The sequence below is a fragment of the Homo sapiens genome, chromosome 6 (genome assembly GCF_000001405.40).
Source record: "Homo sapiens chromosome 6, GRCh38.p14 Primary Assembly".
NCBI classification, from domain to species: Eukaryota; Metazoa; Chordata; class Mammalia; order Primates; family Hominidae; genus Homo; species Homo sapiens.
Genome location: NC_000006.12, coordinates 123,465,905 through 123,483,842, shown reverse-complemented (window position 1 = coordinate 123,483,842; position 17,938 = coordinate 123,465,905). Strand labels below are relative to the sequence as shown.

General features: G+C 36.8%; 1 protein-coding gene and 1 long non-coding RNA gene across 5 annotated transcripts in view; one reads left to right on the top strand and one right to left on the bottom strand.

Annotated features, from left to right (window-relative positions):
• TRDN (triadin) overlaps window positions 1-17,938 on the top strand; it is a 420,612-nt gene that overhangs the window by 153,108 nt on the left and 249,566 nt on the right. The gene's annotated exons all lie outside the window — the stretch shown is intronic.
• Window positions 12,087-17,938, bottom strand: part of TRDN-AS1 (TRDN antisense RNA 1) — a 32,153-nt gene continuing 26,301 nt past the window's right edge. The window contains exons 2-3 of the long non-coding RNA NR_110844.1: window positions 14,913-15,027; window positions 12,087-14,206 (exon numbers count right to left, since the gene is read on the bottom strand). This is a non-coding gene — a long non-coding RNA (TRDN antisense RNA 1). The remainder of the gene's footprint in view (window positions 14,207-14,912; window positions 15,028-17,938) is intronic.

Sequence of the window (17,938 nt, the reverse complement as noted above, 5' to 3'; positions counted from 1 at the left end):
TCTGAGTTGCTATGCTCAAAGTTGTTCTATTAATCAATCTCAGCAGTTATTGAATCTCTAGTATGTACTTAATGCTAGCAGTCATAACAAGAGTTTCAAACCAGAAGGAGATAACAATCCAGTCAGAGATTATGAATAAAACAATGAATAATATAAGGCAGCTGTGGGAGAAAAATAGAAGAAGGTGCTAATTAAGCACTAAATCATATGATGCAGATTATATTCTCTACAAAATTCCAGAGAGAGGGCCACAGTGGTTAGAACAGGCCTTATCAAGGCGTGTTTTATCAATGCTTATCTTCAGCTTTATTGTGGTTGTTATTATTAATTGCTTGCAATGAGTTTAGTATTGTTTCCTATTTATTTGGCCATTTTTTTCATCCCAAATAGGGGAGGAAGTGGTAATAAAATTAGATGTAGTTTTTAAAAATTAATAATACTGGCCGGGCGCAGTGGCTCACGCCTGTAATCTCAGCGCCTTGGGAAGACAAGGCGGGTGGATCACAAGGTCAGGAGACCGAGACCATCCTGGCTAACACGGTGAAACCCCGTCTCTACTAAAAATACAAAAAATTAGCCTGGCATGGTGGCACACGCCTGTAGTCCCAGCTACTAGGAAGGCTGAGGCAGGAGAATGGCGTGAACCTGGGAGGCGGAGCTTGTAGTGAGCCGAGATCGTGCCACTTCACTCCAGTCTGGGCGACAGGGCGAGACTCGGTCTCAAATAATAATAATAATAATAATAATAATAATAATAATAATAATAATAATAATAAATGAGAAATCAATCCAGGGTAAAAACTGAACAAAACATTGCACCATATAGATGTGATCTGTACCACTGTGTTCTCTTCCAAATTAGACCATTCATACTTGTGTCTGTCCTTAGTTATTCACACGTGATTATTGATATTCTGTCTTACAAATGCCCACTGCCCTATTTGATTCTGTATTTCTGCTTTGTGATTAACATGCTGCTTTCCTGAGGGAAAAAGTGTCACCTATAAACCACTTTCTATTGTAACCATCCACAGTGTTTGGGTAATGAGCTCTTGTTTAGTAGAAAAGACTTGTTTGCACAATTCCAATTCCAATTTCTTATAGGAAGTGAGTGCAAATAGATATGAAAAAAGTACAATATTGTCATATTGAAACTCCCTGTTAGAAACAAATTGATGATTTAATATTCTCTTATATATTGGTTGCATTAAGATGTAGACCTTTTCCATTTTCTATAATTCATGACAATGTTTACATTAATAATGATTTTCTCCCAAAGGAATATTATTTTTATGTGATTATAAATAGCCTCTTGGCAGACACTGGATAAGCAGTGTGTACTGTTTTAAATGACAACATAGTATCAATTATACACAATATAAAGCAGGAAGAGAGATTGGATGACTTCCAAATGTGTCATTCAAGTGAGAATATATTTGTGAATTTAATTGTTGTGTTAAGCCTATTAAATAACAATTATTAACATGCTTCCATTTTATCCTCTATCTACAAAATATTTCAGTTTATGTTACATGCCTGTAGTTGAAAATGTGTGAAGTTTTCTCATCTTTATTAAAGCACCCTGTAGAAAATTTTCTGCTAAAGTAAAACCTCAAGTTCTTTTTTCTCCTTCTGAGGTAAACTCCAAAACCAGATTTCTTTTTAATTGGCTGTATAGCTCTGCTTTACGCTTTTCATGTCTCTTTGAATTTCTTGTGAACACAGAATATTTGAATGTGTAGGAGCCAAAAAACAGAAAAAAACGAAAGACATTTTCCCACAGGTGGAAACAAAGCGGAAGGGAGGTATTACAGTTGCAACATTCCTTCCTTTTGCCAAATATCAAGTAGTATGGAAATAGTTTAACAGAGTGATTAAAAAGTGCCAAATTGATTTTATTTTCTAGGAATTAGATCTCTAAATAACAGAGAAGCAACCCTTTTTCACATGCCATGTGATAGCTTTTAAAAATTATCCCCTTGCATTTAAGGATAATGAGAAAGGAAATTTACAAAGAGCCTGGCCTAGCGTGCTAAGTGGAATTGGAGGAAAACTCAGGTAGTTCTCAAGATATTGTTCTGCTTCTACTCTTTAAGGATTTTTGAAGTTTTGGAGATTGTTTGTCAGAGATGATCACGATGACAACATGAGGACAATAAAAGTAGATGTAACACGTGTGGTACTGAGTGCTAATGGTATGTCAGGTACTGTGCTAAGTTCTAGGTATGGATCATCTTATGTATTTCTCACAAAGCCCTGTGAAGTGGGTTATAACCTCTTCAACTCAGAAATTAGGAAATTGAACCAGGGGAAATTATAGAATTTTTTCAAATGGCTATATATTTTCTCCAGGACTTAGGGAGGATTACAAATATGTTTTCAAAAACAGAGGGTCCCTGCCACTTAGGTTTTTTTTTTTTTTTTCCTTTTTCTTCACTCTGTTTCCTAAGTACTATAATTTAAGACAAATATATAATCACTGTTTCCCTTATAATTTAAATATGACATACACACCCAAACCTTGTCAATATAATTGACAAAGCAGATAATTGGCTGATAGCTTTTAGCTGCCTTTGTTGGTTGGTGAGTGAAAGGAATCTGGCATAGAAACCACAAGCAGAGTTGTCTGTGATCTCATACTTCACAGCACAAATGGTTTATCACCAAAATTGTTGAGAGAGTCTTGGATATGGTTTACTTTTAAATTTCGTGAGTATCCATTAAGCTGACTGTAAGGCCTGATAAAATATCATCCAGTTCCATGATTAGATTTTTAAGTGTAAATTGTATTCTTAATGGTTAGAGTGACAACAAATTGAGATGAAAGAGAACACAGAGTAAATTTATCTCTGGAGTTGTTGGTGGGTCTTAAGGTTGTTTAAAATGAAAACAACAGATTCTAGGAGTCTGGGAATTGATTTAGCAATCAACTATGCCAGCTGCTCTCTGTCAATAACCTTTTTAGTAGAATCCTAAAATCAAACAACCAGCAAAGATAGGAGATAGGAGGCATTATTTATTTTCTATGTTTAGGTAGTTTACAAAAATGTCAAGCCTCCTATCTCTTGAGAAGCAAATTTGTTACTCTATTTATAAATTATTTTAATACATTTTGTAAATGTAATCATTTTACCTCTGGGAACCATTTTTCCTCTTATTTCTTCTCCTTTCTGGTTGCCCCTCACATTCCCAAAAATCAATAATTAAATGTGACTCGATTTTCAGTCTTTTAGTGAGTCATTAATACATGTTGGATCTCTGGAAAGTAATACTGAATATAAAACCTAAACTATTACATTTTAACTTGAGAGGCTATGACGTATTCAATGTACCCATATTCAGGAATATGCATTGTGAAAACTTCGTTGGTAAACAACCGCCTTATGAGAACTGATATCTCTTCTGTATTCATAGCAGGGATCGATTAAATTAAATGAATAAAGTTATTATTTATTTATTAGTGAGTCAGTATGTTAACATGTGAGAGGTGAAGGGCATGCCGAGGGATATAAATTAAGCGTGAGATTTTAGCTTGAAGTTTTACTTAAAGTTTTGTGTTTTTTCTTGAAAGTCATTCTTTTTTTTTTTTTTTTGGAAACGGAGTGTCACTCTGTTATGAAAGTCAGTCATTTTTAATGATATTTAATTATGGACCTAAACAATTTATACATAAATCTAATATTTTAAATATTTGCCATAAAGAAAAATGGATTTCTAATGAAATGAATGATATTTATTCTATAGCCACTTCTACCATTCAACACCTCAGAGAATAGGCATCTCTATTTTGATAAAAAATGTTAAATATTTTTGACATTGAAAAAAGATATCTCAGAAACTTGAGTTCATTATAACTTTGAATATTGCGTTACCATAACTGATGGTTGAAAATATGTGTTCTTTGTATTTTAAGTTATCCTCAAATAAAACAAGGGTTAAAATGCCCCTCAATAATGTCTTCCTACTGTACTATGGAATATTACATTTAAATTGTTTTCTTTATTATTCTAAAATTATATAAACTAGAATTCTGAAACATAATATGGCAATATAATATCTATCTGTAATTAATTGAAATTGTTTTGCACTTTTCTAAAATTGTATCTTATGTTTTGTTCATTCCCTGTCCCCTATGCTCTTTTGAAAATGCCTGCAAATGCAAGCTCAAAGACAGGATACTGTTGTATAAGAGCACTGCACTGGGACTCCGCATACTTGGGTCCTAGTTGTAAGTCAGTTGGATGAATTTGGCAAGTCATCCATTTTGTTTGTGTTTCAATGTTCTCAGTGAACTCTGCTGGCGCTAAAACACTCTTCAAGTTTAATATGTGAGTGCAGAATTCATTAGGCTGAAAGATAACACAATAGATAATTGACATAGTCTTTCCACTTGTGGGGAATTATAGATATTCAGAATATATTACAAGTGCTATATGTTAGTAGAGCTGTTTAAATAATGAAGCTATCTTTCTTCATCTTGAAGCTTTAGTTCACTTTTTCCCACTAATCATGGAAAAATGTATAACTTTCTTTGAAAGATTAGTGTTCTACTCATAAATTAGTAAACTTCCCCCAGAAAGAAAATAAATACTTTGGTCTAGAACTATAAATGATTGGGGAAAAAAACCACAAATATATAAGTTAAAGTTTTGTTGTATATCTTTGGTACTATTTCACATTTTACCAAGCACTCTAAAAATACTATAATTCAGTCTGTTCACATTAAAACACTCCAGAAGCAGTAAAACAGAGTGACATTTAGAATTATTCATTTGTTTACTCACTCATTTAAGCAATAATTTTCACTTTTAATAATGCTCTTTCCTTTACTAAATATGTATTGCCTAATATGGTCCATATTTTGGCTTTAAGTTGTTTATTGTCTACTGAAGATTTAAAAAAACAAACAAACTTGTAAATAAACAAATGTATTGAGAACCACAGAAGCAGTGGATAAAGCATACACTGGGTCCTCTGAGAGCATAAAGTGTTTTCAGGGGAATGGGTAGAGGGGAGTCCAAGAAGGGCTAAAAGAGCTAAGCTTTGAGGATTGACTGAAATTAGCCAAGTTCTAGGCAGTTTTATCACTGAAAATTTGAAATCCCATGTATTGAACATTTCACTGGATGATTCCATGGCAAGTTAGGACATTGCATGCTGGGTACATTAAATAGATTTATTATTTTTATTTGAGAATTTAATCCATCCACTTTGCCTCATTAATCTCTTTCCCTATCAGCTTTGGTCTTTGTACTAAAATAAAAACGCAATTCGTATTTACCTATTTACCTATATCTTCTGTCTTCACCATCTCCCATTTTCCTTACCTATACGCAAATATGATTTTCTGTGGAGTTGATAGAAATATTGTTCAGATAACTAAAAGAAATTATTTTTAAAAAATGAAGACTTAGTAATTCTGAAAGTTTAAAAAATATCCCAGTTGGTACTCTATCTAGAACTGCAGAAATTGGTCAGCTAACATGGAGACTGGTCTTTAAGTACTGGGCCTCTTCTGTGGGATATATCAAGTCCATTCAACGTCTAACTAAGGTTAAACAGAAAATGACCATGTAAAAAATGTGTGATTTTTCTTTCCCTTAGGAAGTGAATACCTATAGATTTGTCAATGGTTATGAGTCATTTATGGTAACAGGTAAAATAATTGGCATTTATCTTGACTGTCCAAATAGTTGATTAAATAGGAAAATAAAATGGAGGTAAAAAATTTAATCTTATATTAGGTTTTTTTTTTTTTGGTGAACATTTTTCTTTTTTTTTATTATTATACTTTAAGTTTTAGGGTACATGTGCACATTGTGCAGGTTAGTTACATACGTATACATGTGCATGCTGGTGCGCTGCACCCACTAACTCGTCATCTCGCGTTAGGTATATCTCCCAATGCTATCCCTTCCCCCTCCCCCGACCCCACAACAGTCCCCAGAGTGTGATATTCCCCTTCCTGTGTCCATGTGATCTCATCGTTCAATTCCCACCTATGAGTGAGAATATGCGGTGTTTGGTTTTTTGTTCTTGCGATAGTTTACTGAGAATGATGATTTCCAATTTCATCCATGTCCCTACAAAGGACATGAACTCATCATTTTTTATGGTGCATAGTATTCCATGGTGTATATGTGCCACATTTTCTTAATCCAGTCTATCATTGTTGGACATTTGGGTTGGTTCCAAGTCTTTGCTACTGTGAATAATGCCACAATAAACATACGTGTGCATGTGTCTTTATAGCAGCATGATTTATAGTCCTTTGGGTATATACCCAGTAATGGGATGGCTGGGTCAAATGGTATTTCCAGTTCTAGATCCCTGAGGAATCGCCACACTGACTTCCACAATGGTTGAACTAGTTTACAGTCCCACCAACAGTGTAAAAGTGTTCCTATTTCTCCACATCCTCCCCAGCACCTGTTGTTTCCTGACTTTTTAATGATTGCCATTCTAACTGGTGTGAGATGGTATCTCATTGTGGTTTTGATTTGTATTTCTCTGATGGCCAGTGATGGTGAGCATTTTTTCATGTGTTTTTTGGCTGCATAAATGTCTTCTTTTGAGAAGTGTCTGTTCATGTCCTTTGCCCACTTTTTGATGGGGTTGTTTGTTTTTTTCTTGTAAATTTGTTTGAGTTCATTGTAGATTCTGGATATTAGCCCTTTGTCAGATGAGTAGGTTGCGAAAATTTTCTCCCATTTTGTAGTTGCCTGTTCACTCTGATGGTAGTTTCTTTTGCTGTGCAGAAGCTCTTTAGTTTAATTAGATCCCATTTGTCAATTTTGTCTTTTGTTGCCATTGCTTTTGGTGTTTTAGACATGAAGTCCTTGCCCATGCCTATGTCCTGAATGGTAATGCCTAGGTTTTCTTCTAGGGTTTTTATGGTTTTAGGTCTAACGTTTAAGTCTTTAATCCATCTTGAATTGATTTTTGTATAAGTTGTAAGGAAGGCATCCAGTTTCAGCTTTCTACATATGGCTAGCCAGTTTTCCCAGCACCATTTATTAAATAGGGAATCCTTTCCCCATTGCTTGTTTTTCTCAGGTTTGTCAAAGATCAGATAGTTATAGATATGCGGCGTTATTTCTGAGGGCTCTGTTCTGTTCCATTGATCTATATCTCTGTTTTGGTACCAGTACCATGCTGTTTTGGTTACTGTAGCCTTGTAGTATAGTTTGAAGTCAGGTAGTGTGATGCCTCCAGCTTTGTTCTTTTGGCTTAGGATTGACTTGGCGATGTAGGCTCTTTTTTGGTTCCATATGAACTTTAAAGTAGTTTTTTCCAATTCTGTGAAGAAAGTCATTGGTAGCTTGATGGGGATGGCATTGAATCTGTAAATTACCTTGGGTAGTATGGCCATTTTCAGGATATTGATTCTTCCTACCCATGAGCATGGAATGTTCTTCCATTTGTTTGTATCCTCTTTTATTTCATTGAGCAGTGGTTTGTAGTTCTCCTTGAAGAGGTCCTTCACATCCCTTGTAAGTTGGATTCCTAGGTATTTTATTCTCTTTGAAGCAATTGTGAATGGGAGTTCACTCATGATTTGGCTCTCTGTTTGTCTGTTGTTGGTGTATAAGAATGCTTGTGATTTTTGTACATTGATTTTGTATCCTGAGACTTTGCTGAAGTTGCTTATCAGCTTAAGGAGATTTTGGTCTGAGACAATGGGGTTTTCTAGATATACAATCATGTCATCTGCAAACAGGGACAATTTCACTTCCTCTTTTCCTAATTGAATACCATTTATTTCCTTCTCCTGCCTAATTGCCCTGGCCAGAACTTCCAACACTATGTTGAATAGGAGTGGTGAGAGAGGGCATCCCTGTCTTGTGCCAGTTTTCAAAGGGAATGCTTCCAGTTTTTGCCCATTCAGTATGATATTGGCTGTGGGTTTGTCATAGATAGCTCTTATTATTTTGAAATACGGCCCATCAATACCTAATTTATTGAGAGTTTTTAGCATGACGGGTTGCTGAATTTCGTTGAAGGCTTTTTCTGCATCTATTGAGATAATCATGTGGTTTTTGTCTTTGGCTCTGTTTATATGCTGGATTACATTTATTGATTTGCGTATATTGAACCAGCCTTGCATCCCAGGGATGAAGCCCACTTGATCATGGTGGATAAGCTTTTTGATGTGCTGCTGGATTCGTTTTGCCAGTATTTTATTGAGGATTTTTGCATCAATGTTCATCAAGGATATTGGTCTAAAATTCTCTTTTTTGGTTGTGTCTCTGCCTGGCTTTGGTATCAGAATGATGCTGGCCTCATAAAATGAGTTAGGGAGGATTCCCTCTTTTTCTATTGATTGGAATAGTTTCAGAAGGAATGGTACCAGTTCCTCCTTGTACCTCTGGTAGAATTCGGCTGTGAATCCATCTGGTCCTGGACTCTTTTTGGTTGGTAAGCTATTGATTATTGCCACAATTTCAGATCCTGTTATTGGTCTATTCAGAGATTCAACTTCTTCCTGGTTTAGTCTTGGGAGAGTGTATGTGTTGAGGAATTTATCCATTTCTTCTAGATTTTCTAGTTTATTTGTGTAGAGGTGTTTGTAGTATTCTCTGATGGTAGTTTGTATTTCTGTGGGATCGGTGGTGATATCCCCTTTATCATTTTTTATTGCGTCTATTTGATTCTTCTCTCTTTTTTTCTTTATTAGTCTTGCTAGTGGTCTATCAATTTTGTTGATCCTTTCAAAAAACCAGCTCCTGGATTCATTAATTTTTTGAAGGGTTTTTTGTATCTCTATTTCCTTCAGTTCTGCTCTGATTTTAGTTATTTCTTGCCTTCTGCTAGCTTTTGAATATGTTTGCTCTTGCTTTTCTAGTTCTTTTAATTGTGATGTTAGGGTGTCAATTTTGGATCTTTCCTGCTTTCTCTTAAATTTCCCTCTACACACTGCTTTGAATGCGTCCCAGAGATTCTGGTATGTTGTGTCTTTGTTCTCGTTGGTTTCAAAGAACATCTTTATTACTGCCTTCATTTCGTTATGTACCCAGTAGTCATTCAGGAGCAGGTTGTTCAGTTTCCATGTAGTTGAGCGGTTTTGAGTGAGATTCTTAATCCTGAGTTCTAGTTTGATTGTACTGTGGTCTGAGAGATAGTTTGTTATAATTTCTGTTCTTTTACATTTGCTGAGGAGAGCTTTACTTCCAAGTATGTGGTCAATTTTGGAATAGGTGTGGTGTGGTGCTGAAAAAAATGTATATTCTGTTGATTTGGGGTGGAGAGTTCTTTAGATGTCTATTAGGTCGGCTTGGTGCAGAGCTGAGTTCAATTCCTGGGTATCCTTGTTGACTTTCTGTCTGTTGATCTGTCTAATGTTGACAGTGGGGTGTTAAAGTCTCCCATTATTAATGTGTGGGAGTCTAAGTCTCTTTGTAGGTCACTCAGGACTTGCTTTATGAATCTTGGTACTCCTGTATTGGGTGCATATATATTTAGGATAGTTAGCTCCCTTTACCATTATGTAATGGCCTTCTTTGTCTCTTTTGATCTTTGTTGGTTTAAAGTCTGTTTTATCAGAGACTAGGATTGCAATCCCTGCCTTTTTTTGTTTTCCATTTGCTTGGTAGATCTTCCTCCATCCTTTTATTTTGAGCCTATGTGTGTCTCTGCATATGAGATGGGTTTCCTGAATACAGCACACTGATGGGTCTTGACTCTATCCAATTTGCCAGTCTGTGTCTTTTAATTGGAGCATTTAGTCCATTGACATTTAAAGTTAATATTGTTATGTGTGAATTTGATCCTATCATTATGATGTTAGCTGGTTATTTTGCTCGTTAGTTGATGCAGTTTCTTCCTAGTCTCGATGGTCTTTACGTTTTGGCATGATTTTGCAGTGGCTGGTACTGGTTGTTCCTTTCCATATTTAGCTCTTCCTTCAGGAGCTCTTTTAGGGCAGGCCTGGTGGTGACAAAATCTCTCAGCATCTGCTTGTCTGTAAAGTATTTTATTTCTCGTTCGCTTATGAAGCTTAGTTTGGCTGGATATGAAATTCTGGGTTGAAAATTCTTTTCTTTAAGAATGTTGAATATTGGCCCCTACTCTCTTCTGGCTTGTAGGGTTTCTGCCGAGAGATCCGCTGTTAGTCTGATGGGCTTCCCTTTGAGGGTAACCCGACCTTTCTCTCTGGCTGCCCTTAACATTTTTTCCTTCATTTCAACTTTGGTGAATCTGACAATTATGTGTCTTGGAGTTGCTCTTCTCGAGGAGTATCTTTGTGGCCTTCTCTGTATTTCCTGAATCTGAACGTTGGCCTGCCTTGCTAGATTGGGGAAGTTCTCCTGGATAATATCCTGCAGTGTGTTTTCCAACTTGGTTCCATTCTCCCCATCACTTTCAGGTACACCAATCAGACGTAGATTTGGTCTTTTCACATAGTCCCATATTTCTTGGAGGCTTTGCTCACTTCTTTTTATTCTTTTTTCTCTAAACTTCCCTTCTCGCTTCATTTCATTCATTTCATCTTCCATTGCTGATACCCTTTCTTCCAGTTGATCGCATCGGCTCCTGAGGCTTCTGCATTCTTCATGTAGTTCTCAAGCCTTGGTTTTCAGCTCCATCAGCTCCTTTAAGCACTTCTCTGTATTGGTTATTCTAGTTATACATTCTTCTAAATTTTTTTCAAAGTTTTCAACTTCTTTGCGTTTGGTTTGAATGTCCTCCTGTAGCTCAGAGTAATTTGATCGTCTGAAGCCTTCTTCTCTCAGCTTGTCAAAGTCATTCTCCATCCAGCTTTGTTCCATTGCTGGTGAGGAACTGCGTTCCTTTGGAGGAGGAGAGGCGCTCTGGTTTTTAGAGTTTCCAGTTTTTCTGTTCTGTTTTTTCCCCATCTTTGTGGTTTTATCTACTGTTGGTCTTTGATGATGGTGATGTACAGATGGGTTTTTGGTGTGGATGTCCTTTCTGTTTGTTAGTTTTCCTTCTAACAGACAGGACCCTCAGCTGCAGGTCTGTTGGAATACCCTGCCGTGTGAGGTGTCAGTGTGCCCCTGCTGGGGGGTTGCCTCCCAGTTAGGCTGCTCGGGGGTCAGGGGTCAGGGACCCACTTGAGAAGGCAGTCTGCCCGTTCTCTGCCCGTTCTCAGATCTCCAGCTGCGTGCTGGGAGAGCCACTGCTCTCTTCAAAGCTGTCAGACAGGGACATTTAAGTCTGCAGAGGTTACTGCTGTCTTTTTGTTTGTCTGTGCCCTGCCCCCAGAGGTGGAGCCTACAGAGGCAGTCAGGCCTCCTTGAGCTGTGGTGGGCTCCACCCAGTTCGAGCTTCCCGGCTGCTTTGTTTTCCTAAGAAAGCCTGGGCAATGGCGGGCGCCCCTCCCCCAGCCTTGCTGCCGCCTTACAGTTTGATCTCAGACTGCTGTGCTAGCAATCAGCGAGATTCCGTGGGCGTAGGACCCTCCGAGCCAGGTGTGGGATATAATCTTGTGGTGCGCCGTTTTTTAAGCCTGTCGGAAAAGCGCAGTATTCGGGTGGGAGTGACCCGATTTTCCAGGTGCTGTCCGTCACCCCTTTCTTTGACTCGGAAGGGGAACTCCCTGACCCCTTGCACTTCCCGACTGAGGCAATGCCTCCCCCTGCTTTGGCTTGCGCACGGTGCGCGCACCCACTGACCTGCGCCCACTGTCTGGCATTCCCTAGTGAGATGAACCCGGTACCTCAGATGGAAATGCAGAAATCACCCGTCTTCTGCGTCGCTCACGCTGGGAGCTGTAGACTGGAGCTGTTCCTATTCGGCCATCTTGGCTCATATTAGGTTTGTTCTCAATGCATGACCTTTGTTAGACTATTTATCCTTCCGGAGACCATTTTTTGTCTATCTTAAAAATTAGGGTATTAGAATGGCTGATTTCAAAAGTCTTTTACATTCTTAAACTCTATGATTCTATGCATCTATTTTTGTTATATCCCAAACATCAGGTATTCTGTCACAGACAGGGTACAAGGATAAATGGAACAATGATATGATCTGAATTTATCATATTTCTTTTCTTTAGTTGGCCATTCCATGGAAAATTATTTCCACTTCATAAATTGGAGGTGAGAAAGAAAAAAACACTAATATTACCTTTATCATTTTTAATCAAAAGAATGCATGAAATATGTATTTGGCTGCTATTCTTGCTTTCCATCAAAGTGAATACGAAAATATGTAATAACACGTGGAAATATATTAGGGAAGCTTTTAATCAGGAAGCAAAGAAACCGTTCCAGTGGAAACATTTTGGCCTGGAGGATGTCCTTTGATCTAAGAAGTTTAAGCTGTTGGTGTTTTAAACACCTTATAGTAGGGTCACATAGCCAATTCATGTTAAATAATTCATTTGCTTAAACCTTTTCTAAAATTGTGAAAAAAAACCCTTGAGAGTTAATTAACAATAAGATGTATTATTGGGATGACCAAATAAACCATCTCTGGCTTCTTCACTGGTGATCTTCTATACAAGTACTCCAGCAAAGTGAAAACTACATAATGCAAGAGGCAATAAAGACTAAGCAAATGAGTTCATAAGTTGCTGAGTGAATGGAAAATTTTCTGCCCTTATTATGGCACTGTACTTGTTTGTTCCCAGATACTCAAGTCAAATTATAAAAGTCATCATCCTTGATGTATTTTTCTCACTTGCCACATCAAATTCATTAAGTCTTATTAGGTCTACTTTAAAACGTACTGTGAATTTATCCACTTCTCTACAACTTCTGATTTTCATTGACCATACATTTAAGATCACTACCCATTACTCCGAAAGTCATTCCTTATAACATTTCCCTGATAAACTTTTATAGGGTACTCAATTCCTTTTAACTTATTTAGTTGCTATTTTTTTGTCTCTGCTCACTGGAGTCTCCATGAATTCGGGGATTTTTTTCTATATTGTTCACTGCTATAACTCCATGTCCTAGAAAAGGGTCTGGTACTGAGTAGGCACTCAGTAAGTATTTCTTGCATGAATGAATGAGTTTACACTACTCCTATGTAGTCCAAGCCAGCTTGGGTTATTTCAGTAGTCTCCAGCTGATCTGATACAGCTAATATCCTTTTCTTTACAACATTATTTTTGTTCACACAGCAGCCAGTGATCTTTTAAAATCCTATCATGCTAAAGCAGTTCAAAGGCTTACTATTGCCCTTAGGACAAATCCAAAGTCACATGAGCAGCCTAAAATGTTCTACGTGTGTTCATGTGATTTGCACAAAACTCCATATAGTTTAGTGGGGTCCTGCTCTTCCTTTACTATCCAGTTTAACATAGTCTCTTTCTCCAGTCATTCTCTGCCTCACTGCTCTATGCTTGCCATTCATTTACGAAATCTGAAATATTGACTTGCTTTTGTATCTCCCATCTCCTTCCATCACTAGTGTAAGCTCCATGATATGGCCCTATCTTCACCATTGTCCCTCAGTAATTTCATTTGTACTATTATCTCCACAAACACTCACAACATCCCAGCCAACACAGATGTTATTATTCTTATTTTACCTTGAAACAACAGACCTAAGTTAGGTGATAATTGCCTGTTTCCTGTCTGTCCCCTCACAAGACCAAGTCTCTTCAAGGCACTTTTACGTATCTTGTCCATCATATACATTATTGTATCCTCAGAGGAAGTCCTATATATGTTGTATGTTAATGACTCAAGAAATACATACTAATAAAAGAAGAGAAAATAGAAAAAAATACACACTAAAAGATTTAATAAATAAAAGAATAAGGGTACGGAATAGACATCTGAAATCCCAGTCCCTAGACCTGTGCAACATACCATATCCAGAACAAAAGGCTTAGCATCATAAATTTTAAAAGTGCCTCTCTAATATTAAAGATGAACCTTTGTCGTTAAGCCTTTGCCACTAACTGAAAGAGCAAATTATTAGTTGTAGAAAATTGAGAGTCTGAAAAAGTACTGAGCTCATACTGTTCTGGAACAGAACAAGGCAGAAGTTGTAGTGCTGAGAACGTTTTTGTTTTCTTTCTTTCTTCCTTCCTTATTTTCTCATTGAATCTCTGTCTCTCTACGCATCTGCCTTCTCTGTCTGTGTTTTCCATTCTCTGCCTTTCTCTCTTGTCCTCTGGCTCTGGCTCTGGCTCACTGGCTCTGTCTTTGTTTTTTCATCCAGGCCTCTTTCACACTGCTGTATCTTTCTTTGTATAGGACTTTATGGTTGCCTTGGGGTTGAGAAGCCCCTGGAAGGAAGAAAAGAAACGCAAAGTACAGTGGTGACATTTAGCAACACACAAATGGAAGGTATAAGGATGTCTGTTTGAAGTAAAAACATCCTGTGCCTGCCCACCTCACACAAACTCCTGAACTTCTTCAGATTATTCCCAGTTGGAGAGGTCTTTGTTTAATAGGCAAATTTGAACATCTCTGATTATTATATGAGTGGCAATTCAATTATTTTTAATAGATGGGGTTGGGAAAGGGAGGAGTGGTTAGCACCCCATATCTCTAGGGTCTCCTCTTTCCATCCCTAAGTGGTCCAAAAGTACAAGACAGAAGCAAGTGATAGTAAGGAAGCATGAAGGTCAAGGTGTCCCTATTAACACACAACCTTAGCACAATCACATGTCTCAGCCTAAAATATAAAACCATCTTTTCATTTAATTTTAGTATTTGTTAAATTCCAAACTTTCAAAATATTCCACATCTTACAAAAGTAGTCTAGGAAACTTATACCAATACATAAGTAATATTATTGCTTTAATAAACTTGACTATCATTTCCTTATTAAACTCACATCTTCTCACTTTACTTTTAGTCATAGATTTACAAATGCCTTCTATGAACCTGAAAGAACAAATTGACACAGGGATTTGTAATGATTTCATATATTGTGTGTTTTTAATGTAAAGGAATTTTAACTCAATGGTTACTTGGAGGTCCTCATACCTTTCCAGTCCCAGGATTTATTGCCATTCATTGTTTGCAGGATTGGGGTCCTTCCAAAATGTTCAGAGTTCTCTGGATGTAACTCTCCGTACTTCCAGGAAAATCCAATGAGGGTCTATGACATAAAATCTCTATTAGATGGTAGAGAAAAAAACAGCCTTAACATTTGTTACAAGACAGAGGGAGTAGGCTTCAGTTGTTCAGAAATGGTTTTCAATCAGGGAATCTCGTTCATAAAGAAACTAGATAGATTAAACTTCAGTGTAGTGAATTGCTTTTTTCCATCATGCAATCATAATTCAGCTCATAGCCTCCTACCTTGACAAGATTTTTAGTAATCTCATTCATCATTTCTAGGAAAGTAAAGAAAACATCAGTAACTTAGATCATTAGAATGAATGCACACTGTACACTAGCCCCAAAAGAATTTGACTAAATCAAAAACAACCAAATTGACTTGTATGGAAAAGAACTCAGAACAATAAAGTATTAGCAATTTGCCAACCTACCATTCAGGTATTATGGAAATAAGCCAGCCCAAATCACTCAAGGAACAGAAATGAAGCCAACTTACTGTGTTTGAATGTCAGAGGGATTTTCAGGTAATAGCTTGTAAAATGAAGGGCACCTTTAGAGTTCGAATGTAAATTTCAACAGCCTAAATCTTTCCTTCAGAGAATAACAATCTTCAGGAATTCCAAAAGAATATATTCCTAATAAAATTATAAGCCTCTTTTCTACAAATGAGTTCTGCTATTTCTGTCATGTTCAATTTTCTTTGTTTTTGTTTTTCTTCAAAAGTCAGCTTCAAATCTTCTTGTGAAATTAGATGGGATTTAAATTGTAAATACATTATCGGGAAAAGAATTAATATTTTGAGTATCTGCCATGCACTGGGTGCTTCATCACTTAATCTCTATAACACCCCTACAACTATCCACATTTTATAAACACCTTAACTGAAGCTTGGAGATGTTATGAGATTTTCAAATGTACACAGCTTCTAAGTGACAGATCTGAAGCTATCGCTTAATACCCATGTGACTCCTAAGCATGCAGTCTTTATACTAAACAACTCTGATTTTGTTGTAGAGCTGTATTATAAATATAATATCACATTTAATATAATTCATTATGTATTATTATATATGTTATATAATGTATTCATTCACCTAACAAAACGATTTGTGATTTCAATAAGATTCTCTGACATTACTGATTATATGAGTCAGGACCAAAGTCGTGTGTCATGTTCAAGTATGACCCATCTGATTTGTTTTGGTGCACCCTATCACAACAAAAACTTGTCCTGAGTTAGTAATTCCCTGCCAGGGCTAGTATCACTGTCACCATGGAGACAGGCAGCCAGCTGGCTTCTCCTTTCTTTTTTTAATTTTTTTTTGCTTGTGGTCCTACTTTCCCATTGTTACCCATTGTGTCCACTGCCTTACAACCATGCCATCAGCCATGTTAGAGAGCAGAATAAAAAGAGCATTATAGTTGTGCAGAATTTCTGATATCAACTGCATATTGCACTTTATGCCGCAGAAGCACCAGTTTGTGTGTTCTAATAAATATATATATATTGGCATCCAGGCTTTTTTTTTTTTTTAATTTACCACATACCTTCCACCTGGAATCCCTCCGTCTTCCCCATCCTTCCTTACCTGGCAGGCTCCTTTTAGGCTGTTAACCTACTCTCTTTCAAGACTCTTTCTGCAGTATATCCTTAGTATATACGATTTTCCTTCAACACACTATCATGTAATGATCTGTCTAGAGGTCTGTTTCAGCCAGTATGTTGGGAACTTCTTGAAGGCAGGGTTGGGGTTTAATAATTCTTTGGTGCTGGTATATAATAAGTATGCAATAAAGTTGTTTTAAATAAAGTAATAACTTTATATTTCCTTCAGATAAATCTAAATATAGGTAATAGTGTAAATTATGTGAAATTTACAGGGAAATAATTTTATATATAGTATAATAAGTTCCTCAATAACTCAAGACTATAAAAGACTATAATTATACACCCACTACTATTCACCGAGGTATATGACAGGGTAGAAAGCAGCTGAGACTCAACAGGCACCATTCTATGAAGATATCGATCTATCTTAGTATTTAGAAACAATTGATGTATATTTATGGACACTCATATTTTAAAAGTTTGGTCATTTAACTGACTCCTTCTTTGTCCTTGTAGCTTATTTTCAAAGCTACAAAATACCACCGTACCTTAAAATTATTTTTTCAAGAATGGCCCTCAAACAAGGTTGGGGAATAGATCTTTCCAAGTATATATCCCTTTGACCCACCGAGAAAGTAGAAACCTAGAGTAGAGGCTTCACTCCTCTGTCCCTCGTCAGCTATAGTCATGGACTCCTGATAGATGACCCTTCTGTTAAGCATAGGCAATCTGAGAGGAACTTTAAGAATTGCAACTTGGGAACCTGCATTGAAATCCAATTCCACTTATTAGCAGCTGAGAAGCCTAAACTCTGGTTAACCTCAGTTTTAAAAACTATAAAATGAGACTAATATGCACATCCCAAAGAGCTTGTGAAGATTAAATGACTTAATGCAGGAAAACCATTTGGATCATTCTTGGCACATAGTAAACACTATGTAATTGTTAGCTAGGGAAAGAAAGATAATGTGGATCAACCTTCTTTTTAGTGTTCCCAGCCTTATTTTTTCTTTGCTAATGAAAAAATAAACTTCCATGTTATATTATGTTTAAGTCAATCTTTACTTCCATAATGAAAGAAATTAACAATATTATGAATGGATATTTTTCTAGACATACGGCCTGTAAGTTATGAAACAGTATGTTTGGCTTCTATACATACTTAAACATGCTCAGTAATCAACCTGTATGGGTGTAACAGCTACAAGAACCATATATGATGAACAGAGCTCCATGTGGCATGAGGGCCTAGGCCCGAAATGTGGTGTTTGTGCAACTCTAATTACTTTGCTTGCTAAACCATATTACACCATAGATAACTAATTTTGGTGAATTCTAA